The 27,664-nt window shown below is 45.8% G+C and overlaps 1 protein-coding gene across 19 annotated transcripts in view, besides 2 other annotated features; it reads right to left on the bottom strand.

Moving 5' to 3' along the window:
- The window catches only part of FBXW10 (F-box and WD repeat domain containing 10), a 35,296-nt gene that overhangs the window by 6,028 nt on the left and 1,604 nt on the right, over nt 1–27,664 (bottom strand). For 9 of the 19 annotated variants that reach the window (XM_017024020.3, XM_047435121.1, XM_047435122.1 and 6 more), the window contains exons 2-11: nt 25,217–25,381; nt 23,185–23,600; nt 22,269–22,391; nt 17,168–17,277; nt 14,817–15,017; nt 8,459–8,580; nt 6,460–6,608; nt 4,646–4,788; nt 3,237–3,395; nt 639–910 (exon numbers count right to left, since the gene is read on the bottom strand). In XM_017024020.3, coding sequence (XP_016879509.1) covers nt 639–910; nt 3,237–3,395; nt 4,646–4,788; nt 6,460–6,608; nt 8,459–8,580; nt 14,817–15,017; nt 17,168–17,277; nt 22,269–22,391; nt 23,185–23,600; nt 25,217–25,381 — 1,860 coding nt within the window. Of the gene's footprint in view, nt 1–638; nt 911–3,236; nt 3,396–4,645; nt 4,789–6,459; nt 6,609–8,458; nt 8,581–9,419; nt 9,852–14,816; nt 15,018–17,167; nt 17,278–22,268; nt 22,392–23,184; nt 23,601–25,216; nt 25,382–27,664 lie in introns of those variants that run through there. The other 10 variants (NR_051988.2, XM_047435127.1, NM_001267585.2 and 7 more) reach the window with 6 other exon arrangements.
- Nucleotides 2,280–2,780: an enhancer, noted in NCBI's record as "OCT4-NANOG-H3K4me1 hESC enhancer chr17:18673855-18674355 (GRCh37/hg19 assembly coordinates)". NCBI's record gives its function as "activates a minimal SCP1, AML or CMV promoter by ChIP-STARR-seq in naive H9 embryonic stem cells {active_cell/tissue: H9 hESC(naive)}" and the evidence as "EXISTENCE:reporter gene assay evidence [ECO:0000049][PMID:30033119]".
- Nucleotides 26,412–26,706: an enhancer, noted in NCBI's record as "tiled region #2370; HepG2 Activating DNase matched - State 5:Enh". NCBI's record gives its function as "activates a minimal TATA promoter and a strong SV40 promoter by Sharpr-MPRA in HepG2 cells {active_cell/tissue: HepG2}" and the evidence as "EXISTENCE:reporter gene assay evidence [ECO:0000049][PMID:27701403]".

The following is a 27,664-nucleotide window of genomic DNA, read 5'->3' as shown; positions in this document are numbered from 1 at the left end:
TGCTTGCTTTTTGTTTCAGTGGTAAGTATTAAGGCTAGTCTTATCTACTGTGCAAAGGTTCTTATAAGTTTGAAAATCTAGCTCTTGCAGGCCGGGCACGGTGGCCCACACCTGTAATCCCAGCACTTTGGGAAGCCAAGCCGGGAGGATCACCTGAGGTCGGGAGTTTGAGACCAGCCTGATCAACATGGAGAAAGCCCATCTCTACTAAAAAAAAAATACAAAATTAGCCAGTCGTGGTGGTGCATGCCTGTAATCCCAGCTACTCAGGAGGCTGAGGCAGGAGAATCGCTTGAACCTGGGAGGCGGAGGTTGCGGTGAGCCAAGATTGTGCCATTGCACTCCAGCCTGGGCAACAAGAGCGAAACTCCATCTCAAAAAAAAAAAAAAAAAGAAAGAAAGAAAGAAAATCTAGCTTTTGCAAACCAGAATGTTCCCTTTAACTGGCTGATAAATTGTTTAGTGGATCAGAGAGAATGGCTCCTACCTTCCTGGAGGGTTAGGATTTATATCCTCAGGAAACCACTGGCCAAAATATTCCACAAACGAACCAGTCCTCCCCGTCTCCCACCACCCCCACCAAACCCCGACCTGCTCTGTGGGTTATCACTGAACTTGCTGGTATTTCAGTTTTTTACCTGAAGAGAACTTGGCCGGCTTCAGGAGTACTCGGGACTTGGGAGGTTTGCCTGGTAGGAGCTCTTGGATCACAGTTTGTTTACTGGATACAGACTCTCTTGGGCTGTGAACCTGAATATTACACTTAGAGAGAATTTCCATGAGACTATTTTCTTCTTTTTCCTCCTCTTTCTCCTTATTCTTCTTTTGTTTCGTTTTTTCCACGGCATACTGCCACTTTATGTGCTCAAACTGGAACATGAGAACATTGCTCTCTGTGTTGACCACCATCCTGGAACCGAAACAACAGGGTTGTCCACAAAAGGACTGTGGAGGCCACCGAAAGATGCACTGCAGTTACCATCCCACCTGGTCTTTAGACTAAAGGAACAGTGCCCAGGTGATGACCAAACAGACTAGTAGTGTAGGCAGCTGGAGGGTGGAGAGTGGTGAAAGTTACCAGGAGATGCAGCAGGAGTCGTTAGCTTTGTCACTCTTTTCTTTAAAAAATAAACATGATCGGGGCACATATGTTCCGATTGTTTCACTTCTCAAGTCAAAATGCTTTTTTATTTTTTATTTTTATTTTTTTATTTTGAGAAGGAGTCTCGCTCTGTCACCCGGGCTGGAGTGCAGTGGCATGATCTCAGCTCACTGCAACCTCCGCCTCCTGGGTTCAAGCGATTCTCGTGCCTCAGCCTCTTGAGTAGCTGGGATTACAGGTACGCACCACCACGCCCAGCTCATTTTGTGTTTTTAGTAGCGACAGGGTTTCGCCATGTTGCCCAGGCTGGGCTCAAACTCCAGGACTCAATGATCCACCCACCTGGGCCTCCCAAAGTGCTGAAATTACAAGCACGAGCCACTGCGCCTGGCCTCAAGTTAAAATGCTTTTAAATGAATTTCTGTTCCTGGAGTGAGTGCCACGTACCTAGGGTGCCAAGAAGGTACTCTGCACACAGATGTCTTGAAATTCAGTGTTTTTGTTTCTTTGTTTGTTTTAAGCACAGCTTCCAAACCCAATATTACTATTGCTGCTGGGAATGAGGAAAGCTCTCTAATGGGGAGGCCTCTTCTCCTTCATAGACCCTCCACGCAGACACCACACACTCCATGCTGTCACTCCAGGATCTCTGCACACACTCTAGATGTAGACAGAACATCTATACTTTATAAAGTGAGATGATTTCTAACTTCTCTGATCCCCACTTTAATGCTCCATAGACAAAGAGCTCCGGAACTTGCCCTCCCTGTCCCCTTCCTGTGCCCCCACAGCACTGCCTCCCTAACCCACCAGTTTTACAAGCAAGCGGCTTTCCCCTTTCTGTGCTCTTCCCTTAACTATAAACAAGAAATGAAAATACTCTGCACAGGTTTCTTTCTGCTTCAAAAGGCTGCAGTGTTAAGACCTTAACCAACAGCATAAACTCTCTAGAAAAGTAACTTGTTTTGGCTGGAACTGCTGGAATGGAATGCGGGGTGTCATTCCAATAAGAAATCCCTTTTAGACTTACGTTCACTCAAGCCGAAAGAAAAACACCTTTCTTTGGATGCTGTGAGTAAAAAATGGCCAGAGTTTTGTTTTGTTTTTTTTTTTTAGCAGCATGACTGAAAAGTGTTCATTAATTGAGCCTTATTACCAGGCTGCCCTCTTTAAGATGGTAAATAATACTAATAAAGTTTCACTAAAAGGAAGGCAATATGGTTTAGGGACATTAAGAGATGTCTCAAGTGAGCTTGAAGTAGAATTTACAGGTTAGTTCTATTTGGTTATTTTCATATAATAGCACCCTGAGTCTACGCATATATAAAGCACAGTACTGTATACAATGCAGTCAGTCATGGTACTGGTTTTGTAAGCTCACCAGCTCAGCTTTCCCCCACTGTACCCCCTGCTGCTGCCACCCTCCACTCTCCTATAATGTCTCTTTGCATTAGAAGTGAGGCATCAAAGATAGCTGATAGAGCTCTCAGGCAGCCAAAGGCATGATCAAAGAGCAAGCAGGGGCTGCACATTGGTAGAACTGTGGTCCTTACAGAAGCGTTATGTTGCACCCACTGCAATTCCCACAAACACCTAGGATGAATTAAGAGTCAAAACAGGCCGGGCGTGGTGGCTCACACCTGTAATCCCAGCGCTTTGGAAGGCCGTGACGGGTGGATCACGAGGTCGGGAGTTCAAGGTGAGCCTGGCCAAGATGGTGAAACCCCGTCTCTACTAAAAATACTAAAAATTAGCCGGGCATACTGGTGGGCGCCTGTAATCCCAGCTACTCGGGAGGCTGAGGCAGAGAATTGCTTGAACCCGGGAGGCGGAGGTTGCAGTGAGCCGAGATCACATCACTGCACTCCAGCCTGTGCGACAGAGTGAAACTATGTCTCAAAAAAAAAAAAAAAGTCAAAATGAACAGTTGATTGCTTCCTGATTACTAAGTTTTGTGCAAAGCCCTGTTAGTCCCCACCACAAGACTATTGCTCCACCCAGCCAGAATTGTAGAGAGGCATTGCACACTCTCTCCTCCTGACAGCAAATCCAGGGCTGGTATCCCAGGGGAGGAAAAAAATCAAAAAATCCAACAGAATCACTCACAGTTCTGACCTCCACACCTACCACCCACCTGTTGCCCTGAATAAAGAAGGACAGCACAGGATCACCTCTGCCATTGGCTTTTAACACCTTCATACAGTTCCCGTTGAGGAAATTGTAAATTCGGATCTTGCCATCTGCACAGGCGCTGATGACCCGGAGGAAGAGAAGGGACACGTCGAGCACCTCCCTGGAAGGGAACAGAGTAGCAGGCAGTACCCATCCTCTCGTAAAATGCCTGGGTTTGTTTGTAGGTTGGGAGCATTTTGTGTGTGATTGAGCAGCACTGGCCATAACTGGCCTCAAAATGGTGTTTGCTGTCTTTTTTTTTTTTTTTTTGAGATGGAGTTTCACTCTTGTTGCCCAGGCTGGAGTGCAACGGTGCGATCTTGGCTCACTGCAACCCCCACCTACCAGATACAAGCGATTCTCCTGTCTCAGTCTCCCAAGTAGCTGGGATTACAGTGATGCGCCACCACACCTGGCTAATTTTTTTGTATTTAGTAGAGACGGGGTTTCACCATGTTAGTCAGGCTGGTCATGAAATCCTGACCTCAGGTGATCCACCTACCTTGGCCTCCCAAAGTGCTGGGATTACAGGCGTGCGCCACCATGCCCGGCCTGCTGTCATTTTATAATTGTGGAAGTAAACCGTGAGCTTCTCTCAAGACATACCTCTTCCCATTCTGCAGCTACTTTCCCCGCAATTAGGTCACAGGGCCACAAGATGACAAAACAAAAAGGCTGATGTCACAATCTTTTTTTTATCTAACATATAGATGATCATGTTTGTCTCTTGCAATTTGATTCCTAGCGTTTACTTATACAATAGTCATGCTGAGAATTATTTAATGTTTTGATTCTTTCTAAAATAGTATTATTGGCTGGGCAAGGTGGCTCACGCCTGTAATCCCAGCACTTTGGGAGGCTGAGGCGGGTGGATCATGAGGTCAGGAGATTAAGACCATCCTGGCTAACACCGTGAAACCCCATCTCTACTAAAAATACAAAAAATTAGCTGGGTGTGGTGGTGGGCGCCTGTAGTCCCAGCTACTTAGAAAGCTGAGACAGGAGAATAGCGTGAACCCAGGAGGTAGAGCTTGCAGTGAGCCAAGATTGCGCCACTGCACTCCAGCCTGGCAACAGAGCGAGACTCTGTCTCAAAAAAAAAAAAAAAAAAAATCAATAACTTCTCAAAACCCCCAGTTTCTATAGTTACTTCACAAGAAAACAAGGGAGAGTAGAAGAGGTTAACAGTCAGACAGAGAAGATGGTGGGGAAAAATGGGTCCCAGGTGGAAGAGGAGGGAAGCAGAGAGGGTGAGGTGCAGAGAACACGATGTCTACAGGGAGCAGAAGGTCTGCCAATGATTGCAGTCTAGGCTATGACGGGGAAGGGAAGGACACCAGGTTCATCGCTCCGGGCTTCACAGGCACCTACTTGGGATGCTTGAAGGCCATCAGGCAGCGCTCGTACTTCCCCACCATGCTCCAGGCCATGACCAGGCCATCAGTACTTCCTGAGAGGAGATGCCACTGGTCAAAGAACAGGCATTTCACGGCTCCCTCATGGCCACTGAGAGTCTGCAAGAAAAGATACCACTGTCTTCAACTCAGACTGTGACTCCTCCAAGAACCAAAGCTGAGGCTTCTTCAGATGAATCCCAAAGCCACCCCCCACCAATCTGTGACTGCCAGTCACTCGGTAGGTACCTGAGCTAATCCTGCTTTTGCTCTAAGAAGGCCGATGGAGGCCGGGTGCGGTGGCTCATGCCTGTAATCCTAGCACTTTGGGAGGCCGAGGCGGGCGGATCACAAGGTCAGGAGATTGAGACCATCCTGGCCAACATGGTGAAACCCTGTCTCTACTAAAAATACAAAAATTAGCTGGGCATGGTGGCACACACCTGTAATCCCAGCCACTCGGGTGGCTGAGGCAGGAGAATCGCTTGAACCAGGGAGATGGAGGTTGCAGTGCGCCAAGATCTCACCACTGCTGTGCTCCAGCCTGGTGACAGAGTGAGACTCTGTCTCAAAAAAGAAAGAAGAAAGAAAGAAAGAAAGAAGGAAGGAAGGAAGGAAGGAAGGAAGAAAGGAAGGAAGGAAGGAAAAGAAAAAATAAAAGAAAAAAAGAAGGCCAATGGAGTCCATTCCACATAGAGCTCTCTCTCGGGTTAAGGAGGAATGGGATCAGGGTGGGGCCTTGCTCCTGGTGGGTCTGTGTTTGGGACAGACACTACCTTCTTGGAGCACTAGAGAGGGCCAGAAATCACTGTCCTTTGCTGTGAGAAGGACGAAGGTAAGGTGTGCCATCCCAGCTCCTTGCCAGAACCCAGAGTGCACATGGGCCATCCCTGTGCCTGCAACCGCTGGATTGGCCATAGTGACAAGATTGGTGGGGAAATTCCACAGGCCAAGCCAGCCACTTTTCACTGTGATCCTGTGTTCCTGCTGCAAATCATATATCAACACCACCCGCTAAGGCTAGGGGTTCAGATCCAGCAAGAATATGTTTCATGACCATCCAATCACTTTCAAGACCATCCATGTTCTCTCTTCATTAGAGAGCATGGAGAAAAAAAAATTCTCTGTTCATCCCCCAGTGTTTTCTTCTTAGGAAAAAATGCTTTGTTCATCCCCTCACCCCATGCCAGAATTTTTTTTTTTTTTTTTTGAGACGCATGATCTCGGCTCACTGCAACGTCTGCCTCCCTGGTTCAAGCAATTTTCCTGCTTCAGCCTCCCAAGTAGCTGAGGTTACAAGCGCCCACCACCATGCCCGGCTAATTTTTTGTATTTTCTTTTTTTTAGTAGAGACAGGGTTTCACTATGTTGGTCAGGCTGGTCTCGAACTCCTGACCTCATGATCCGCCTGCCTCGGCCTCCCAAAGTGCTGGGATTACAGGTGTGAGCCACTGCGCCTGGCCCTACAGAGTGCAATACTCTGGAGGAGAAAAAGGTACTTCACCTCCACTGCTGTTAGAAGGCCCTGAGCCCATATCTCATGCTGAGTCAGAATGCAGCCTTCCTCTACCAACCCCATGATACCGTGGGTCATGATGTGGGTGGTGGAGCCCCTACCCTCCACAGACTCTGAATGCCTCACTTTGGGGCCTTCCCCTTTAGAGCTTCAGGACTGTCCTTCTTGAAGGTCATACTCAGTTGCTCTAGGATGACCTGAGGAGCTAGGTAGGGGGAGCCCACCCATCTCCTCCCCAGTGCCCTTTCCGCCAAGGTAGCCCACTGCCCACTTACCTTTACCAACTGGGCCATGGCAATGTGCCACACTTTCACCAGCCCTCGCTCACAGCTGCTCACAATGTAGGTATCATTGATCCTGGTGGCCAAGATGGGGTCTTTGTGTCTAAACGTCTTCAGGCACTTCCCTGTGTCTACATCCCATACTGAACAGGAGGGAGAGAGAGGAAGACATGGGAGTGGGGAAAAAGGGGGAAAAGGAAAGGTTACAGTGGAGTTCTGCTCCCCATCACAGAAGCAAAGACTCATCAAGCCCATCAAGTCAGATTCTAGAAGGACTTCCCGTGGCCTAGCACCTCCGCAGAGCAGGCTCACCAACCGCTCATGTGCCCACAGCACAGAGCGCCCTGAATACAGGTGGTTGAGGGAGCCCACAATCCAGAAGACCTTGGCTATGGCCCTGGAACTTAGCCTTGAGGCCCAAGTGCTAGACAGCTCATCTCTAATCAGCTAATTCCTCAAGCCTGAAAAATGCTTGCTATCGAGTAGATTTCATAAAAATCATGGCATACAGCTTGAGTAGGGGCAGGTAAAATTAAAAAAAAAAAAAGAAAATCATGGCATACATGTAGTGTTGTCATTTTTCCCAGATGTTGTCTTCCTGACCCACACCTTCTATCCCCAAAATGAAAGAAGGTCATCTACCCTCACTTACATTTTTAAATACTTCTGAATCTGACTTTTCAATTTTATGGAGAAATGGTCACAGCTAGGGGTGGGTTTACTGCTGCTTCAACACAGACTGTGTTAGAGCAACTGCCTGGCATCTTGTAGTGGGGATGAGAGTGGGTGGGTGGGTGGCAGAACAGGGTTTTCTAAAATGAAGAAGTTAATGCCGGGCCCAGTGGCTCATGCTTATAATCCCAGCACTTTGGGAGGCCAAGGCAGGTGGATCACCAGGTCAGGAAATCGAGACCAGCCTAGCCAACATGGTGAAACCCCGTCTCTACTAAAAAAAAAAAAAAATTAGCTGGGCGTGGTGGCGTGCGACTGTAGTCCCAGCTACTCGGGAGGCTGAGGCAGGAGAATCACTTGAACCCGGGAGGCAGAGGTTGCAGTGAGCCAAGATTGTGCCACTGCACTCTAACCTGGCCACAGAGCAAGACTCCATCTCAAAAAAAAAAGGAAGAAGTTGAAAGTGATCTCTATGAATTCAGGAATGAAAACATTAAAGTCTCCTTCAAAGGTGCTCCCCAAAAGCACCTTCTTCCTCAGGCAACAGGACAAGTGGCCTGAGACAAAATATAACAACAACCAGAGTTGACACTTGCATGGCACTAACAGCCGGCGATGACTCAAGGTGTGTGACATGCTCATCGTCACAAGACAAGTACTATTATTATTCCCCACAACACAGATGAGGAAACTGAGGCATAGAGAAGTTGGGTTGCCTGCTCAAGTCTTGCAGGTGGTGAGTGGCAGAGCCGGGATTTGGACCTAGGGAGTCTGGATCCAGAGGCCATGTGCTTAATCATTTCTGCTCGGTTAGCCCTAACTATGTAAGTATGCTTTCCTTCACTTATATTTTATGTATATATCTTGGCCCATTTATAAAATTACCAATGGGGCTCTAGTGAGGATTAAATAATGTATGTTAAGCATCTGTCACAAAACTGGTACTCAGTAAATGGCAGCCATTGTTGTTCATGGACTTATTATATTCCCCACTATATATTTATGTATCTGCTTCCATTAGGAGACAATGAGCCCTTTGAAGAAATAAAAAGTTAAATCTAAAGGGCCATATCCTATTATTTTTTTTCTCCTCAGCACTTAGCTCAGTGTGTAGCTTGTTGTAGGTATTCTACAGACAGCTGTTGAATGGATGGATTGATTGATAGATGGAAGGAAGGAAGGATGGGTGGGTGGGTGGATGGATGGATGGATGATAAAGAATAAATGACTGCCTGCCTATAGAAATGAGCAAAACAAAGCATTTTGGTAACCCGTGGGTCGGGGGAAACTTCTTAGAAAATTTAAGGCACTTCTTTCTCACCTTTTACCTGGCAATCTCTTCCTCCAGATACGAGCCTGTTCTTACACAAGTCCATGCAAGTGATAGTCCCCTGGTGACCACCGAAGATTCGTGTGCAAACCCCACTTTTCAGATCCCAGTATCTGCAGGAATCAGGCCAAAAGAATGTGAGAGTTCCTGAGGGCCCAGAGGATCATACTGCGTAGAACCCATGTAGATAAGTAGTTAGTTGGGAGGCAGCAGATTCTCATGGTTCAGCTTAGAGTCAGGGGCCTGGATTTGAATCCCAGCTGCAGCACCTATTTGGTGTAACTTTGAGGAAGTTAATTTTTGTGTTACGTTTCCTTTCCTCATTGATAAAATGGAAATAATAATAAGAGTCGTTGGTCAGGCACAGTGGCTCACCCCTGTAATCCCAGCACTTTGGGAGGCTGAGGCGGGCAGATCATGAGATCAAGAGATTGAGACCATACTGGCCAACATGGTGAAACCCTGTCTCTACTAAAAATACAAAAGTTAGCTGGGCGTGGTGGTGTGCACCTGTAGTCCCAGCTACTCAGGAGGCTGAGGCAGGAGAATTGCTTGAATCCGGCAGGCAGAGGTTGCAGCGAGCTGAGATTGTGCCACTGCACTCCAGCCTGCCAATAGAGCGAGACTCTGTCTCAAAAAAAAAAAAAAAAAAAAGAGTATTTACATCATAGGGTTTTTGTGAAGAATTAAATGGACTAATACAGTGATTGTCAATCTTGGGTAACTTCTACCCCCATAGGCCATTTGGAAATATCTGGAGATATTTTTGGTGGTCACAAGCCGGGAAGGAGGTGCCACTGGCATCTAGTGCATAGAATCCAGAGATGCTGCTAAACATCCTACATTGCACAGGGCAGGCCCCACAGTAAAGAATTTCCCAGCCCCAGATGGCAATAGTGCCAAGGTTGAGAAACCCTGCACCAGTGGAGATAACACTGGAATAGTGACTAACATGTACAAAATGCTTGATCAGTGTCAGGTGGTTTTTAGATAGAAGCGTCCTGAATGACCACCAGCCTTAGAATCCATGGCACTGATTCCACGGTACAGTGGATCTGCAAACAAGAGCAACAGAATCCTTTACCAATCACTTAGATCCAAAATATTTATGTACATATAGAGCATATCTAAGAGATAGATGGGAGCAAAGATGAATTATCTGTTTTTTAACAAGAACACTTGCCCAAGGTCTCTCAACTGCCATTGATGCTTCCGCTTCAGGTAGGCTGCTTTTGAGACAGGACAAAGCAGAATGCTGAGATAATGGTTCTGGAGAAGGCTGCCTGAAGTCCATTCCCAGGGCCATCACTTACTAGCTGTGTGATTCTGGGCAAATTACTGAACTACCACTTACCTCAGTTTCTTCATCTGTAAACTGAGAATAATAATTGTACTTAACAGCCGGGCACGGTGGCTCACACCTGTAATCCCAGCACTTTGGGAGGCTGAGGCAAGCAGATCACGAGGTCAGGAGATCGAGACCATCCTGGCTAACATGGTGAAACCCTGTCTCTACTAAAAATACAAAACATTAGCCGGGCGTGGTGGCAGGTGCCTGTAGTCCCAGCTACTCGGGAGGCTGAGGCAGGAGAATGGCGTGAACCTGGGAGGCAGAGCTTGCAGTGAGCCGAGATGGCGCCACTGCACTCCAGCCTGGGCGACAGAGTGAGACTCTGTCTCAAAAAAAAAAAAAAAATTGTACTTACTTCACAGAGTTATTGTGAGGCTTGGCACATAAAAACGATTAATATGTCTTTGTAGTTTTTTGGATATGTTAAAGCTTTTTCTTCTAATATTCCCAAGGGTTTTGCAGCCTTACCAATGCCTTACCAGTTTCTCAGAGCCTACAATGCAGCCACAGTGCATTGAATGATGGCACAGTGCTCTGAAAGAAAGCATGTTTTGAATTTCTGTTTCTAGCAATATGGTGGTATATGTCTTCAGGTTGGTTTTTTAAATTTATGCAAGAAAAGGTATTTGATAAATACTTTTAGAAAAATAGGAAAAGAAGGAACTTTCCAGATTTAGTAAAAGGTATAAGCCAAAGTCATAACAGCAGGTATTATGCTCAGTGGAGAAACTGTAGATGTATTCCCTTCCAGAAGGGGAACAAGATGAAGATGCCCACTCTCACTGCTACTGCCTGCCATGGCACTGGAAGGCCTAGGCAAAGTTAGAAGAAAAGAAAAACAAAAGGTGGTATAGGCATTAGAAAAGAAGATAATATATTGTCGGCCGGGCGTGGTGGCTCATGCCTGTAATTCCAGCACTTTGGTAGGCCGAGGTGGGCAGATCATGAGGTCAGGAGATTGAGACCATCCTGGCCAACATAGTGAAACCTCGTCTCTACTAAAATACAAAAAAACATTAGCCGCCGGGCGTGGTGGCACATGCCTGTAGTCCCAGCTACTCGGGAGGCTGAGGCAGGGGAATCCTTTGAATCAGGGAGTCGGAGGTTACAGTGAGCCGAGATCGCGTCACAGCACTCCAGCCTGGCAACAGAGCGAGACTCCATCTCAAAAAAAAAAAAAAAAAAGATAATATATTGTCATTTGCAGTTGATAGGATTGTCTACGTAGAAAAACCAATTATTGGCCAGGTGCAGTAGCTCACGCCAGTAATCCCAGCACTTTGGGAGGCCGAGGCGGGTGGATCACAAGGTCAGGAGATCGAGACCATCCTGGCTAACGCAGTGAAACCCCGTCTCTACTAAAAATACAAAAAATTAGCCAGGCGTGGTGGTGGGCGCCTGTAGTCCCAGCTACTCGGGAGGCTGAGGAAGGAGAATGGCATGAACCCAGGAGGCGGAGCTGGCAGTGAGCTGAGATCGCACTACTGCACTCTAGCCTGGGCGACAGAGCAAGACTCCGTCTCAAAAAAAAAAAGAAAAAGAAAAAGAAAAACCAATTATGAAACATACATGCTTTTACAACTAATAAGAGAGTTTGGCAAGGATGCCAGACACAAGATCAATTTACAAAAATCAATTGCATTTCTCTATGCCAGCAATAACTAATTTGAAAATATAAGCAAAATTAAGATACCATTCACAATAGTAATAAAATTATAACTGTACAGGCATTAAGTAAAAATACACAGGACTTTTATGAAGAAAACTTTAAGGCTCTAAGAAAGAACACAGATGATCTAATTGAGTGTGTTTACCAAACTAATCTATAAATTCAATGCAACCCAAATAAAGTCTAGTTAGGTTTTATTGAAAGTTGGTAAACTTACTCCAAAAACTCAAAACTTATATACTATAGCTGTTACATAAAAAAGAAAAGTGAGGCCGGGCGCGGTGGCTCATGCCTGTAATCCCAGCACTTTGGGAGGCCGAGGCGGGCGAATCACGAGGTCAGGAGATCGAGACCATCCTGGCTAGCACAGAGAAACCTTGTCTCTACTAAAAATACAAAAAATTAGCCAGGCGTGGTGGCGGGTGCCTGTAGTCCCAGCTACTCGGGAGGCTGAGGCAGGAGAATGGCATGATCACGGAAGGCGGAGCTGGCAGTGAGCTGAGATCGCGCCACTGCACTCTAGCCTGGGCGAGAGAGCGAGACTCCGTCTTAAAAAAAAAAAAAAAGAAAAGTGAAAAGTAGAATTTCCCTCCCCGTCACATTTTAAAACATTCTCCAAATGCATACCTAAAAACAAAACAAACAGTTTTCAAGGAGGGGGATTTTGATTAAAAACAGAAAGGCAGTGGACTAGATCAGAGAACTCAGGGACATTCTCATGCACATATGGGAAATTTCAATGTGATAAAGATAGCACCTCAAATCAATGCAGGAAGTGGCAGGTTATATAGTAGTTGCTGTGGGGGAGAAACTGCTCACTTTATCTAAATATGAATAAATGAAATGGAAACCCTACCTAATGCCACATACAAGGTTGAATTGCAAAGAGATTAAAAAACTGAATGCAAAAGATAAAACTGTAATGTTGATAGAAGAAAATATTAGAAAATATCTCTATGACCTAGAAGAGGGAAGAATCACAGAAATGAAGAAAAAAAAAACCCTGATAAACTGATATTTTATTACATTCATATTGAGATTTTTTTTTTTTTTTTGAGACCGAGTTTCGCTCTTGTTGCCCTGGCTGGAGTGCAGTGGCACCTCCCAGGTTCAAGTGATTCTCCTGCCTCAGCCTTCCTGAGTAGCTGAGATTACAGGCATGTGCCACCATGCCCAGCTAATTTTGTATTTTTAGTAGAGACGGGGTTTCTCCATGTTAGTCAGGCTGGTCTCAAACTCCCGACCTCAGATGATCCGCCTGCCTCAGCCTCCCAAAGTGCTGGGCTTACAGGCATGAGCCACCGCGCCTGGCCCATATTGAGAATTTTTGTTCAACAAAATTCATGTAGATACTATGAACACAGTTAATAGATAGTCCTGGCAAGAGGGTATTCTCTGGCAGATGGCCTTTGGGCTTCATCTGCACCGTTGGCTCTCCTGGGTCTCCAGCCTGCTGGCCCCACGCTGCAGATTTTGGACTTGCCAGCCACCTTGATCACACAAGTCAATACTTTATAGTAAATCTCCTATGTATATACACATTGTATTGGTTCTGTTTCTCTGGAGACCCTGACTAATACACATATGAAAAGGTGTTCAACTTCATTAGTAATCAGGAAAGTTAAAATTTAAACCCCAATAAAACACAGTGGGTTTCATTTAATACCCATCAGATTGACAAAACTGTTAGACTGTCAATAGTAAGTGTTGGTGAGAATATATAAGAAGAGATATTCTCATATGCTGCTAATGGGAATGTAAATTAATACAACCACATTGGAAAACAGTTTAGTACTCCTTCCTAGAAATTCCCATACTAAGAATATACCTTTAAAAAACTCGTGCACATGGGCACCAGGGGACACATCCAAGACCCGTCTCTGGCAGCATTCTTTGAAATAATTAAAAACTAGAAACAAGGGCCCGGCGCGGTGGCTCACACCTGTAATCCCAGTACTTTAGGAGGCCGAGGCGGGTGGATCACGAGGTCAGGAGATCGAGACCATCCTGGCTAACATGGGGAAACCCCTTCTCTACTAAAAAATACAAAAAAAAATAGCCTGGTGTGGTGGCGGGCCCCTGTAGTCTCAGCTACTTGGGAGGCTGAGGCAAGAGAATGGTGTGAACCTGGGAGGTGGAGCTTGCAGTGAGCCAACATGGCGCCACTGCTCTCCAGCCTGGGTGACACAGTGAGACTCCATCTCAAAAAAAAAAACAAAAAACTAGAAACAATGCAAATGTCCACCAACAGAAAAACAAATAAATGAGTTACGATACAATCATCCAATTTAATACAGTATCTCAGTGAAAATAAGTTAATTACTGCCACCTGCATCATATAGGTGAATCTCAAAAACAGTTCCATGTAAGAATGAGGTACCAACAAATTTTTAAAATATGATTCTTTTTATGTTGAGTTCAAAAACAGGCACAAGTAACTAATACTTCTGGAGATGTATAAGAAGGAAGCAAAAATGATTAAGAAATGCAAGGGAATCATTAGTATAAAATTAGAATAATATTACCTCTGGTTGGCAGGAAGAAGCAAGAAGAGAAGGGCACAGTGGGAGGGTTGGGGAATGGTGGTATCTTATTTCTTGGCCTGAGTAATGGATGCATGAGTGTTTGTTATATTGTTTAAAAATATACATATGTGGTTTTTTTTGAGATGGAGTCTCGCTGTGTCGCCCAGTCTGGAGTGTAGTGGCACCATCTCGGCTCACTGCAAGCTCCACCTCCCAGGTTCACACCATTCTCCTGCCTCAGCGTCCCGAGTAGCTGGGACTACAGGCACCCGCCACCACGCCCAGCTAATTTCTTGTATTTTGTTTAGTAGAGACGGGGTTTCACCATGTTAGCCAGGATGGTCTTGATTTCCTGACCTCGTGACCTGCCCACCTCAGCCTCCCAAAGTGCTGGGATTACAGGCGTGAGCCACCGCGCCTGGCCACGTATGTGTTTTTAAAGCACTATTTTGCCTCTATAGTCTGTCTCAAACCCATAAAAACCACGTTCCCCTGAAAGAGTCTGTAAGAACAAATGTAAATTATTTCTTCCTCTAAGAATGCTAATAAAGAAAATTTTTCTGATTTGCAGTCATCAATTAGAAAATATATCTGATAACTGTTATAAATCCATCTCATTCAAATTTTAAGCAATATATACATTCCTGACTTTTTCCTTGCCAAAAAAAAGCTGAAGGTATTCTAGAAGTCAGTATCTTCTAGGAAAACTGTTAAATATAAAAAGAAGAAGCATGCACACTTCTTCCATGAGCTGCCTCTAGGCCCTAGGTGGGACAGGGATCATGATGCCTTTGGACTCCTCACCTGATACTTAGGTCATAGCTCCCGCTTAGGAGAAAGTTTTCCTCCTCACACAGGAAGAGGGCCCGGACACTCCCAGCATGGCCTCGGAATTCAACGGGTATCGCTTTCACTTGTATGATGTCCAGAAGATGGATCTTTCGATTAGATGACACAGCTATCAGATCTCCCCCGGAATAGTGGATGACTCGGTTTTGATCCCACCTGAGTGCCAGGGGAAAAGGATTATCCATGAAAGAAGAGTCAGTGTCCCTCCTGGGACTGACTTAGCCCCATGACTTTTGCCTACAGCAGTGGTGTAAAGGAAAATCCAGGGCCTTTCAACAAGGGAGGCAGCAGAAGGCAAGGTCGAGAATTAACAGGCCTTGAGGGATCCCCACTCTCACACGATGACAAAAATCCATTTCCGTTAAATTTAAAAACTAGAGACACAAGGCAATTTTTTAACAATTCTGTAAATGTATGCTAAATCCCCAAGAGAGAGAATGGAGTATGTGGCATTGCCCGGATTTAATTGATCACGGAAACCTTTTTTCTTGGAAAACGTCAGAGGAACACAGTTGGGAAGTCCTGTGCACACTGTATTTCTTTTCTTTTGTTTTTTCCCTTAATCAATATCCAGTGAGCATATATTAGGTTCAAAGTCCTGTGCTAGTAGATACCACAGGAAATATAAATAATTATCAGATAAGGACCTTACTTACAATGAGCTTATTGTCCCATAAAACTAGGTGAGTTGAATTAGTCTTTCAATCATAGGATTATTAGCAAATAGGTAAAGTATGAACAGGATGACCAAATAATGTATTGTCCAAACTGAGAGTTTTTTATTGTGAAAGGGGACACTATTTATTTATTTTTAGAGACAAGGTCTTGCTCTGTCACCCAGGCTGGAGTACAGGGGCGCAATAATAACTCCCTGTAACCTCCAACTCTTGGCCTCAAGCGATCCTCCTACCTCAGCCTCCCAAAGTTCTGGGGTTACAGGCATGAGCCACCACGCCCAACCTGGGGACACTATTATTAATGACACTAGGACTGCAGACTAGAGAGGGATTGTTCCAATAAACAGGGATGTATAGTCACTCTAAATATGAGGAGCTTTGAGACCAACCTGACCAGAGAACGAAACCCCGTCTCTACAAAAAAATTCAGAAATTAGCCAGGCATGGTGGCATGTGCCTATAGTCCCAGCTACTTAGGAGACTGAGGCAGGAGAATCGCTTGAGCCCAGGAGGTGGAGGTTACAATGAGCCAAGATTGCACCACTGCAGCCCAGCCTGGACGACAGAATGAGGTTCACTCTGAAAAAAGAAATACAGATAGTATGGTGATAATTGTTCTTTAAACTACATATATATGTGTGTGTGTATATACATATATTTTTATGTATATATATACATGTACATATGTGTATATGTGTATATATATATGTGTGTGTGTATATGTACACACATATATATAAGGAGCAATTCTTGACATTTTTGCCCTTATTCCGTTGGTCATACCTAGAATTCAACTAGTCACCATCTCTTCTAAAGAGCAGTTATCACCACACTAAGCATAAAAACTCAACTTTGCCTTTCCCCTGTCTTATCTGTTCTGTCTTCCCCATACCGACTGTTCTATTATCAAGATGCAATTTGTTAATAAGATTCATGGCCAAAAATAAAGTAGAAGTGGACTTTGCAAAACCTTGTGAATATAAAGTGAAGTCCTAGGCCCAAAATATGGCAGAAAGTTGCTTATTAAAGGAACTTCGTCTCTCAGCATATTGAAATGATGTCAGAGTATGCAATTATAAATACGATTGTCATATTTACCATGGGAAGATATCTATAGTACTTTGCTGGGCTGGGTTACAGAAATATGTGTAATATAACACCACTTCTACTAAAATATGTGCTAAGTATGCAAAGAAAAGAATTCTAGAAGGGTAGACATCAATATTAATGGTGGTTATTGCTAGGTGATAGACTACAGGAAAACTTTGCCTTTCTCTATACATTTTCTGGCATTTGAAAGATTTTTTCCAATAACCGTATATTATTTCTAAAATTAATAAAACAAAATAAAGATATTTCAAAAAATAAAGATTTTATGTGTGACTTGTGCAAAAGGTTGTTGGTCAGCATACCCAAAATTTAGAAAGGGAAAGTGTCCTTTACCCACTGCCAAGAATGGTGCAAAATGAAGCAGGTATTGTCTACATGGGATCATGTGCAAGTTTAGGGCTGGAGCTTGAGGTGAGGAGAGCTTGCCTTTCCATGTACACAAAGGTCAGGGAAATCCCAAATGTCAGTGTGGGTAACTCAAGCATCCCTAGAGACCCAGATTCTGACCCCAGTACCTACGTGTCAGAGAGAATGCGAACATTGTAGGTCCCACAGAAAACATTTCTCTCCTCTATCAGGACCTGCTGCGTTTCCTCGTTCTGGTATGCAGTCCACAGGTTGTACTCATTCTAACAAGGGAATATTTGAAGTTAAAGCTCAGTGGTAACTTCAAATACCCACAGTCCCAGAGCCCCTAGGGTCTCCCTGGTAAGGGCACAGGGCTCACGGATTCTTCCTCTGAAGGCTGAGGCTGCTGCTCTGCAGAGAAGGGAGCAGCCAGTGAGCAAGCACCAAAGGAAACCATGAGTTAGAAAATGTTGGGTCAAGGTTCTTAATTCTTCTTTCATCTCTTTGATTTTCCATGTGCCCTGATTCCATGAACTTTCAAGGCTGAATTCCAAATGTCACCAATAACACAACTTTTTCAAAAATCAGCTCACAAAGGGTATCCTCACAACATAAAGTCACAGGTGCCCTTTGACCGACCATTTCACAGAAGTCGGAACGTCATATGTATATTACATCTACGTGATAGTACAAAGCACACTCAGGGGATTTTAAGCCAACTGTGAAATTACTGCTACACATGCTATGCTATGCATTTGCATTTTTTTTTTTCAGACGGAGTCTCGCTCTGTCGCCAGGCTGGAGTGTAGTGGTGCGATCTCAGCTCACTGCAACCTCCGCCCTCCTGGGTTCAAGTGATTCTCCTGCCTCAGCCTCCAGAGTAACTGGGACTACAAGCGTGCACCACCATGCCCAGCTAATTTTTGTATTTTTAGTAGAGACAGGGTTTCACCATGTTAGCCAGGATGGTCTCGATCTCTTGACCTTGTGATCTGCCTGCCTCGGCTTCCCAAAGTGCTGGGATTACAGGCGTGAGCCACCAGGCCCGGCCGCAATTTTTTTAAGACGGAGTTTCACTCTTCTCACCCAGGCTGGAGTGCAATGTCATGATCTTGGCTCACTGCAACCTCCGCCTCCCGAGTTCAGGCAATTCTCCTGCCTCAGCCTCCTAAGTAGTGGGGATTACAGGCATGTGCCACCACGCCTGGCTAATTTTTGTATTTTTAGCAGCGACGGAGTTTCACCACGTTGGCCAGGCTGGTCTCGAACTCCTGACCTCAGGTGATCTGCCTGCCTCAGCCTCCCAAAGTGCTGGGATTACACGTGTGAGCCACCACGCCCAGCCTGCATTTGCATTTCAAAGTTTTCATACATCTGCAACTTTCATTTGTCCTTGTAGCTGCCTTACAAAGTAGATCCCTTGCCCCACAAAATGTTCTCATTATTTTACAGATAAGGTATCTGGGACTCAGGGAAAGGAAATCAATTTTATCAAGTCGTGACAAGGGCGCTTTCATTTGCTTCCCAATCTTTCTTTATTTCCTTCCTGCCTGCCTGCCTTCATTCCTCCTCCCTCCTTCCCTCCCTCCTTTGCTTCCTCTATCACACACCTTCTGGCATTCCAGACATGCTAAATTCTGGCATAGATGACTGAACTAGACTCTCAGTTCCATTTATATTCCCTGCCATATTCTATCCTCAAATAGCCAGAAATAACAGTCCCATTAGACTAGCAGGAAGAAAAAGCAGAATATATTTATCTTGAAGGCAAAGAAGAACACAGCATCATGTTTGCACCTGAGAGTCCTCTTGGGGACATCTCTGAAGTCTCCTTCCAAACCTTAGCCTTCTGCTCCATGCCTTTAGACTCTTCCTCAGATGCCCTCTTTCCTCTGCTCCCTCTCCTTCTTAATCTTTAACCATGTAGTCTATCTCTGCTCAGAAGAATCTGCCAACCTGCCTCCCCTCCAGTGTCCAGGGAGTTTTCCATATCCCAGCCTGAATTAAATAATGCTGCCCTGGATTCTCCCAACCCAGGTGAGAATTCATTGGCCCTTGCTCATCTCCTAAGTTTTGTGAGCCCAAGAAGCCACATGGTGGAGTCATTGGGAAGGGAAAGACCTGAGTTTAAATTCCAGCTCTGCCACTGCCCAGCTGTGAGACCTCGGCCACTTTCTCACACCATATCCTTCATTTCCACATCCATAAACTGGGAGCAACAACACCTCCTCGATCTATGGTGAAATCAAGTAAATGCTGTATGCAGAGCTGCGGGCATCAGGCACACAGTTTACACTCATGCTATTACTCACCACCCTGAGAAGCACTCACCTCCGCTTTTCCTAGGAGACTCTGTAACTGCTTAGTCTTGCTATTTCATGTGTTCTCCATACTGTTTCACCTGCTTCTCTGCTTCTCTCCCTTTTCTCTCTCTTTCTTTTTTTTTTTTGAGATGGAGTCTCGCTCTCTTGCCCAGGCTGGAGTGGTGCAGTGGCGTGATCTCGGCTCACTACAACCTCCATCTCCTAGGTTCAAGTGATTCTTCTGCCTCAGCCTCCCGGGTAGCTGGGATTATAGGCATGCACCACCATGCCTGGCTAATTTTCTATATTTTTAGTAGAGACAAGGTTTTGTCATGTTGGCCAGGATGGTCTTGAACTCCTGACCTCAGGTGATCCACCTGCCTCAGCCTCCCAAAGTGCTGGGATTACAGGCATGAGCCACTGCGCCTGGCCCCTTTTCTTAAATTACACATGTAAGAATTAAAGAAAGAGGAGAGAAAGGCGAAGGGTGGCTTGACAGTCAACAGGTTTATTTCAAATCTGGGAGGGAATTCTGACCGAGTTACATTAGAAGCCGCACTCTCTTACAGACTAAGAGTCTTTAAGGATTCAGGGTGGGAGAGTTTATCAGATGCTTGGACTGCTTCTGTGTCTCTTTGTTGTGCTTATCTGGGAGGGAGAGTTGTGTGTCTGTCCCTATACATCTTTCTGCAGCTGCAGGCATACCCCCGAGTCTGCTTTAGCTTCACTATCTTAGTGCACTTGAATGGAAAGGAATGTGCTCATGATGGCCCACTGTTTTACTCAGGCCCACTGTATGAGGGTGAAGTTTGGTAGTTACCCAAGAGACTGTCCCCCCACTTCCCTCTGTGCCCTAGATGTCTTATCTGTGTTTTACTGTCTGTTCTTTCTGGCTGCTTGTAGTTAGAAGAGATTTCCTTGAAATGCATGAGACTAGAAAGGGACCTGGAACTTAAAGTGGCGGTGTTTGTCCAAGATGACAGTACAATTCTGTCAATACAGTCCAGTTCTGTCAAAACATTCCTAGAATGTCAAACACTGGCTGGGTAGTCCTTCTGTTGGGCCATTACTGACTGTATCACCCAAGGAAGAAGGGTATTCTTTGTGTTATACTTAAAAGAGCAACAGACTTGAAAACAAAAACAGGTCCACGTTCAAATGAATGCCTCTTTCACTCAGCTGGCTGGGAGAGCTTGACCTCTCTGAGCCTCAGTTTCTTTATCTATAAAATGGGTGAAGGGACCAGCTCAGAAATGAAAAACTGCAGGTCAAAGGAAATCCAGAAATGTGTTTTCTTTTTTTTTTTTTTTGAGATGGAATCTCACTCTGTCACCCAGGCTGGAGTGCAGTGGCGCAATCTCGGCTCACTGCAAGCTCTGCCTCCCGGGTTCACACCATTCTCCTGCCTCAGCCTCCCGAGTAGATGGGACTAGAGGCACTGCCACCATGCCTGGCTAATTTTTTGTATTTTTAGTAGAGACAGGGTTTCACTATGTTGGCCAGGCTGGTTTCAAACTCCTGACCTAGTGATCCGCCCGCCTCGGCCTCCCAAAGTGCTGGGATTACAGGCGTGAGCTGCTGCACCTGGCCCAGAAATGTGTTTTCTTTGGCCTATGTAGTTTTTAAAACTGCTTTTAAATGGTTGCCAGCATTTAATAAAAGCAAGAGATTTCACATAATACCTCAGGTTTCTATCTTCCAAGACTTAGATGGTCTAGCAGGTCAGGGGCCTCAAGACAATCTCTCAAGACAATAATTAGCCAGAACTGATGAGCAGCTGGCCCTTCAGATGCAGGTGAACTGTCCAGTCCATGACAGCCACACCGTCCGCTACTGCCCACACGACCCGTCTCCTCCTTTGTGTCACCTGCCTGGCCCCTACAGGTCATATGAGCTAGATGCTCTCTCTGGATGCTTCTGTTTCTCAAATTCTAATTTAACATAGCTGCCTTATGGGAAGCGACAGTCAAACCATCCCTCATCAACTATCCTTTTGGGGCCAATTAAATAGACTTTAAAATAGACTTTAAGCAGAGTGGGGGGCAGAAATCTAATGGTTTTAGGAATATCAACCATGCCTTGATAGTCAAAGCAAAGAGCTCGAAGAGTCTTCCGGTCACTCTTCATTATTGCCCAAGAACTAGTGGAAAGGGCTATATTTAGTTAACTCTCCCCTTCCATCCTAGAGCCAGAGTAAACCTGGAAGTGAGGGATGAGGGAGCCGAATTCGTCTAGGCCCTAGGCATTCTGGAACCAGCCCTGGCCCTCCCCTCGGGTCCTCCTCAAATTCCTGAGCAGCAGATGCTGGAGCCTCCAGAGGCATGGGCTGATGGGGTTGCTCCTGGCCTCTGAACTTGCCACTAAATGACCTGGTGCCATGGACACAAAACACGGCCAGGGGCTTTGAAGTAAGGAAGAACCCTGAGAGGACAACCAAATCAATCCACCCATCCAACACATGAGTAAAGCAAGGCTTAAGAAGAGGAAGTGTCGGGCTGAGCGCGGTGGCTCACGCCTGTAATCCCAGCACTTTGGGAGGCCGAGGCGGGAGGATCACAAGGTCAGGAGATCAAGACCATCTGGGCTAACACGGTGAAACCCCGCCTCCACTAAAAAAAAAATACAAAAAATTAGCCGGGCGTGGTGGCGGGCTCCTGTAGTCCCAGCTACTCAGGAGGCTGAGGCAGGAGAATGGCGTGAACCCGGGAGGCGGAGCTTGCAGTGAGCCAAGATTGTGCCACTGCACTCCAGCCTGGGTGACATAGCGAGACTCCATCTCATTAAAAAAAAAAAAAAAAGAGGAAGTGTCTTGTAAGTCAGTAGCAACACAGAACTCTCGTCTTCCTTAAGGAGTGTCACCTGCCGTGATCCTCTGTCCTCACTCCAGGGCTGAGTCTGGACCTCAGCCTTCAATGACAATTAGAATGAGACGCTCACAGCTACTTGCCCCAGATGCTGTTGGAACCCACCTTCGTTCTCAGCTTCCACTTCGGATGTTTCACACGCATGCTCTTCCCGTCATCTACCATTTTAGGAACTGGGATAGAAACCTTATTGGCATAATTAGGATCAATTCCTCTTGTGTAGGACCCCTGGAAAAAGACAAAAAATAAAAAATAAAAATAAAAACAGAAAATGGCTTCTCTTGGCTCCAACTCTGCAGGAGGAAGGGAAAAACTAGTTCTTGGCAAAATGTGAAGGATGGGTAAGCCCTGGCTGCAGCAGGCAGGCCCACTTCTGGCCAGTTCCTCTGGCAGTGTGTGCAGATCGAATGGAGGAGAAAAATAAACACCAAATGCCACAGGGGGACCAGTAAAGACGGTCAGACTGTCGCCAGCCTCACCATAGCTGCTGCTTCTCATCCTCTGTCCTCTCTGCTGGGGGAAAAAAAATCCAAGTTACCAAAATCCATGGTTTAGGGTGAGACTTCTGGCAAGAAACTGAGAAGTAAAAATGCTGGAGAAGATTGCCATTGGGGAAAATTTCATTTTAACTTAAAAAAAAACTTTGCAGCCTTATAAACATCTGTGCTCCATATGAGGTTGATGCAGAGACACATTTATGGCTTTCTTGCTGCATAAGCTGCAATATAACTCCCTGGGGGCTGGGGGTTCTCTGCTTTGTGAGGTGTTGGAAAGGCTCTGTCTCTCTGCTCCTGAGCGGTCTCTATCCCTATTGTCCTTGTGAGATGCACTGACAATGAAAGAGTACTCAGTTATTAACAGGAGTTTGGACCAAAAAGAAGGGACCCAGGAAGCCTAAAAGGCCACAAATGTAGAGGAGGAGGCCAGCTAAGGGTTTACTGAAAGGTCCACAGTCATATCAGCCTCAACACGAAAATGAAGCTGGTCTCAGACATTCCCCTTTCAGACTTGCAGGAAGTACCTGCAAGAAGGTAATCTGGTTCTGAATGAAGCCGTGCGCTGACAAGTCCATCTTGACCTGTTGAGCCATGGCGGCCCAGTGCTGGCTCACAGAGGCGCACTTGTTCAGGGTGTGTCTATCCAGCATTCCTGGAAAAAAAAAGATGGACCCAGAAACCCCAGAACTGGGCCAAGAGGGGAGGTGTCTGGGAAATCCCCTCATACACCCCAGCATACTTAGAATGTACTTGGAGAGGTGGATGGGCAGGTAACGGATGAAGTCTCGGTATTTGCTGAACCCAGAAGACAGGTCTCTGATGTCATCCAGGTCAACCAATAGATTGCAGGGATCGTACCCTGGCTTGGTTATGTCTCCTTTTCCAGAAAACAGCCTATTCATTTCGGATATACACCGGAGTGAATTCCTCCATGGTTCCTCTAGAGTGAAGCCAGAGAAAGGTACGTGGTTGAGTTGGCTCTGTAGAAACTCCAGGCCAAGAACAAGTCCCCACCAAAAGCTCTCCCAGAAAATAAACCTCCTCAGACTCTAACCTTAGGCCACTAGATTTTTGTCATCTCTTCTGCCACTTGAGAATAGAATCTTTTTTTTTTTGAGACGGAGTCTCGCTCTGTCGCCCAGGTTGGAGTGTAGTGGCGCGATCTCGGCTCACTGCAAGCTCCGCCTCCCGGGTTCACGCCATTCTCCTGCCTCAGCCTCCTGAGTAGCTGGGACTACAGGAGCCCGCCACCACGCCCGGCTAATTTTTTGTATTTTTTTTTTTTTTAGTAGAGGCGGGGTTTCACCGTGTTAGCCAGGATGGTCTCGATCTCCTGACCGTGTGATCCGCCCGCCTCGGCCTCCCAGAGTGCTGGGATTACAGGCGTGAGCCACCGCACTCGGCCGAGAATAGAATCTTTTGACCCATATATACATGTACTTTTCAGCTTTTTCAGCCCAAGGAGAAGTCTAGAGTATCAGAGTCTGAAATGATATTGTGCCTGGAATTTTCTTAAAAATACTCCAACAAGAAAAAATTTTAAACAACTTAAGAAAGGGGGGGAAATGAATGGAATAAAATTGGTAAAGTGTTGATAATTGTTGAAGCCAGTGCTATGTGGGTGGTTATCATACTGTTCTACATACTTTTGAAATTTGAAATTTTCCATATAAAAGTGTTTTAGAATCTATGCCTTGTATTTCCTATGATATTGTGTTTCCGATGATATTTCATGTATATGTCTTGCTTCAGTTCCCAACTTTGGAGTGCCTTGAGGTGGGGAACCAAATTCCCCATTAATTTTGTTCCCTCCTCAAGACTGAATCCAATACTGCAAAAATAGCCATTGGTGGGTTTAATTCTAGAGCTGGCCACCATGCCAGAGCCCAGGGACTAGACAATGGATTGTGGCCCAGAGCAGAGAAAGACTCCAAAGGAAATCATTGATAGTTTCCTTTCTGATCTCTATCTTCAGATGTGTCTTGTGGGCACTGCAGCGGAGAGGTGCAAATATGGGTTTGGGGGCCATATTGATCAATTTAATCCTTGCTCCTCCCCTTACCAGCTGTGAGAATTAGATGGGAAAGTAATGTCAAAGAGCCCAGCACATTGTAGATGCTAAATGAATGTGAGTTCCTCAAATCTGCCATCCCCAGATGCTATCACCCTGCCAGCCCCTCCAGTTCCACTGGGTCTTCCCAATCTCACATTGGTTGCATATTGGCTTTCTTTTTTTTTTTTTTTTTTTTTTTTGAGACAGTCTCGCTCTGTTGCCCAGGCTGGAGTGCAGTGGCATGATCTCGGCTCACTGCAAGCTCTGCCTCCCGGCTTCACGCCCTTCTGCTGCCTCAGTAGCTGGGACTACAGGTGCCTGCCACTGCGCCTGGCTAATTTTTTTGTATTTTTAGTAGAGACGGGGTTTCACCGTGTTAGCCAGGATGGTCTCGATCTCCTGACCTCATGATCTGCTTGCCTCGGCCTCCCAAAGTGCTGGGATTACAGGCATGAGCCACCGCACCTAGCCCATATTGGCTTTCTTGCTGAAAGTTCACTTACCAGGGTTAGATGCTGCCCCAAGCAAGTGTTCATTTTCTGGGGCTTTGGACAAAGGAAGGGATGTGTGCTGAGTTTTGGCTGTCCAATAGACTTGTGAGGTCGCAGACTTGGAGCTGTGGTCTTTCTCAGGGGAAAAACACACATCTGTGATGTCTTGATTGAGCCCTGAAACACAGAAGACCAAGACAAGGTTGCTCTTGAAGCGGGTGTGTTGAGGAAAATGAGGTGGAGAGAAACTTTTTCATTTTTTCTTCCTTCTTTTAAAGATGTACAGAATGGACCAGAGCAGTTATGTCTGTTTTTATTTGGGGCCTCCAAACTTCTATGCAAAAATCTCAGAAAGCTTCCTGTTAGCTTTTCAGCACGCCCCCATTGTAAAATTTCTCGAGTTGTTTATACAAGCAGAGAGAGAGAGAGTCGAGGTCAGGAATTGCAACAGGGAATGCTCTTCGGAAGCTCAAGCTGAATTTTCTTCAATGATAGAAATAACCACCCTCGAGTCAAAATAGAACATTTAACTTTTTTTTGGTTTGTTTGTTTTTGGTTTTTGAGACTGAGTTTTGCTCTTATTGCCCAGGGTGGAGTGCAATGGCTCGGTCTTGGCTCACTGCAACCTCCGCCTCCTGGGTTCAAGTGATTCTCCTGCCTCAGCCTCCCAAGTAGCTGGGATTACAAGTGCATGACACCTGGCTATTTTTTGTATTTTTAGTAGAGATGGGGTTTCGCCATGTTGGCCAGGCTCGTCTCGAACTCCTGACTCCAGGTGATCCACCCGCCTCGGCCTCCAAATGTGCTGGGATTACAAGCGTGAGCCACTGCGCCCAACCAGAACATTTAATTTTTTAAGAGAGAATCTGCTCTAAGAAAAGAGAAGGTTGTTGGCCCGGCGTGATGGTTCATGCCTGTAATCCCAGCACTCTGGGAGGCTGAGGCAGGCGGATCACAAGGTCAGGAGATGGAGACCATCCGGGCTAACACGGTGAAACCCCGTCTCTATTAGAAATACAAAAAAAATTAGCCGGGCGTGGTGGCGGGCACCTGTAGTCCCAGCTACTCGGGAGGCTGAGGCAGGAGAATGGCGTGAACCCGGGAGGCGGAGCTTGCAGCAGTGAGCCAAGATCAGGCCACTGCACTCCAGCCTGGGCAACAGAGTGAGACTCTGTCTCAAAAAAAAAAAAAAAAAAAAGAAGGTTGCCACAACCTGTAATAGGACTTAACACAACTCCAGTGTAAATAGCCCATTCCTATGGTGAATGGGATGAAGTTTTGGAAGAGCACTGTGGAGCATTGCATCTGTGTGTACAAGCCAGGCCTTCCGCTGCTGGCAGCACTCACTCCAGAGTGGAAGGGGCCCAGGAGGGGATCCTGGTTTTCAGCCCACGTGGTGGGTGACCTAAGCAAAGTCAGATGCCCTGGACTTTGGTCTCCTTATGTAAATATTAAGGATATTAAGTCGGTTGATCTCCAGTCTAACTTACTGTTTTTGACACCCTAGGATTCACTGTGTCTTCATTCTATATTATCATTCTTCTATACCCCTGACACACCAAATAAATCAAGTGACATATATTGTGATCTAATTGTGTCCTAGGCCATCCAGCTTTAAAATTCTTTTGGATTCCACTAGTCTACAAATATGACCACCTGTCAGGTCGCACTGGTGACAGGAATTACACACCTTCAAGAGCTAAAACTCCAAAACGCCTCCATGTGACCACCCCCTCCCAGCTTTCTCCCACCTCTGCTTAAATCTGAGCTTCCCCATGTTGGACCTTCCACTCCTGGACCCCTCCAAAGCTCAATTCTCTTGCCTCCTGATACAGTTTGGATATTTGTCCCCTCCAAATCTCATGTTGAAATGTGACCCCCAGTGCTGGAAGTAAGGCTTGATGGGAGGTTTTTGGGTCATGGGGGCAGATTCCTCATGAATAGCTTGGTGCCCTTCCCACAGTAATGAGTGAGTTCTCGCTCTATTAATATAGTTCGAGCAAGAGCTGGCTGTTTAAAAGAAACTGACACCCCTCCCCTTCTCTTGCTACTTCTCTTGCCTCATGATACATTGATTTCCCTTGCATTCCACCATAAGTGGAAGCTTCCTGAAGCCCTCACCAGAAAGAGATGCTGGTGCCATGCTTCTGGTACAGTCTTCAGAACTGTGAGCCAAATAAAACTCTTTTCCTTAGAAATTTCCTTATAAATTACTTAGCCTCAGGTATTCCTTTATAGCAAAGCAAAACAGACACCACCCTTATTGTTTCTTCTGCTTCCCTGAACTATCTGGCCAAACACTTCCAAGATTCTCCAACACCCTAGGCCTGTGATTCTCAAAGACAGATCCCCAGACCAGCAACATCAGCACTAGCTGGAAACTTGTTAGAAATACAGAATCCCTGGTCGAGTGCAGTGGCTCACGCCTGTAATCCCAGCACTTTGGGAGGCCGAGGCAGG

This window comes from Homo sapiens, chromosome 17 (genome assembly GCF_000001405.40).
Source record: "Homo sapiens chromosome 17, GRCh38.p14 Primary Assembly".
NCBI classification, from domain to species: domain Eukaryota; kingdom Metazoa; phylum Chordata; class Mammalia; order Primates; family Hominidae; genus Homo; species Homo sapiens.
The sequence above is the reverse complement of the archived record's forward strand: the minus strand, read 5'-3'. Positions and strand labels throughout refer to the sequence as shown.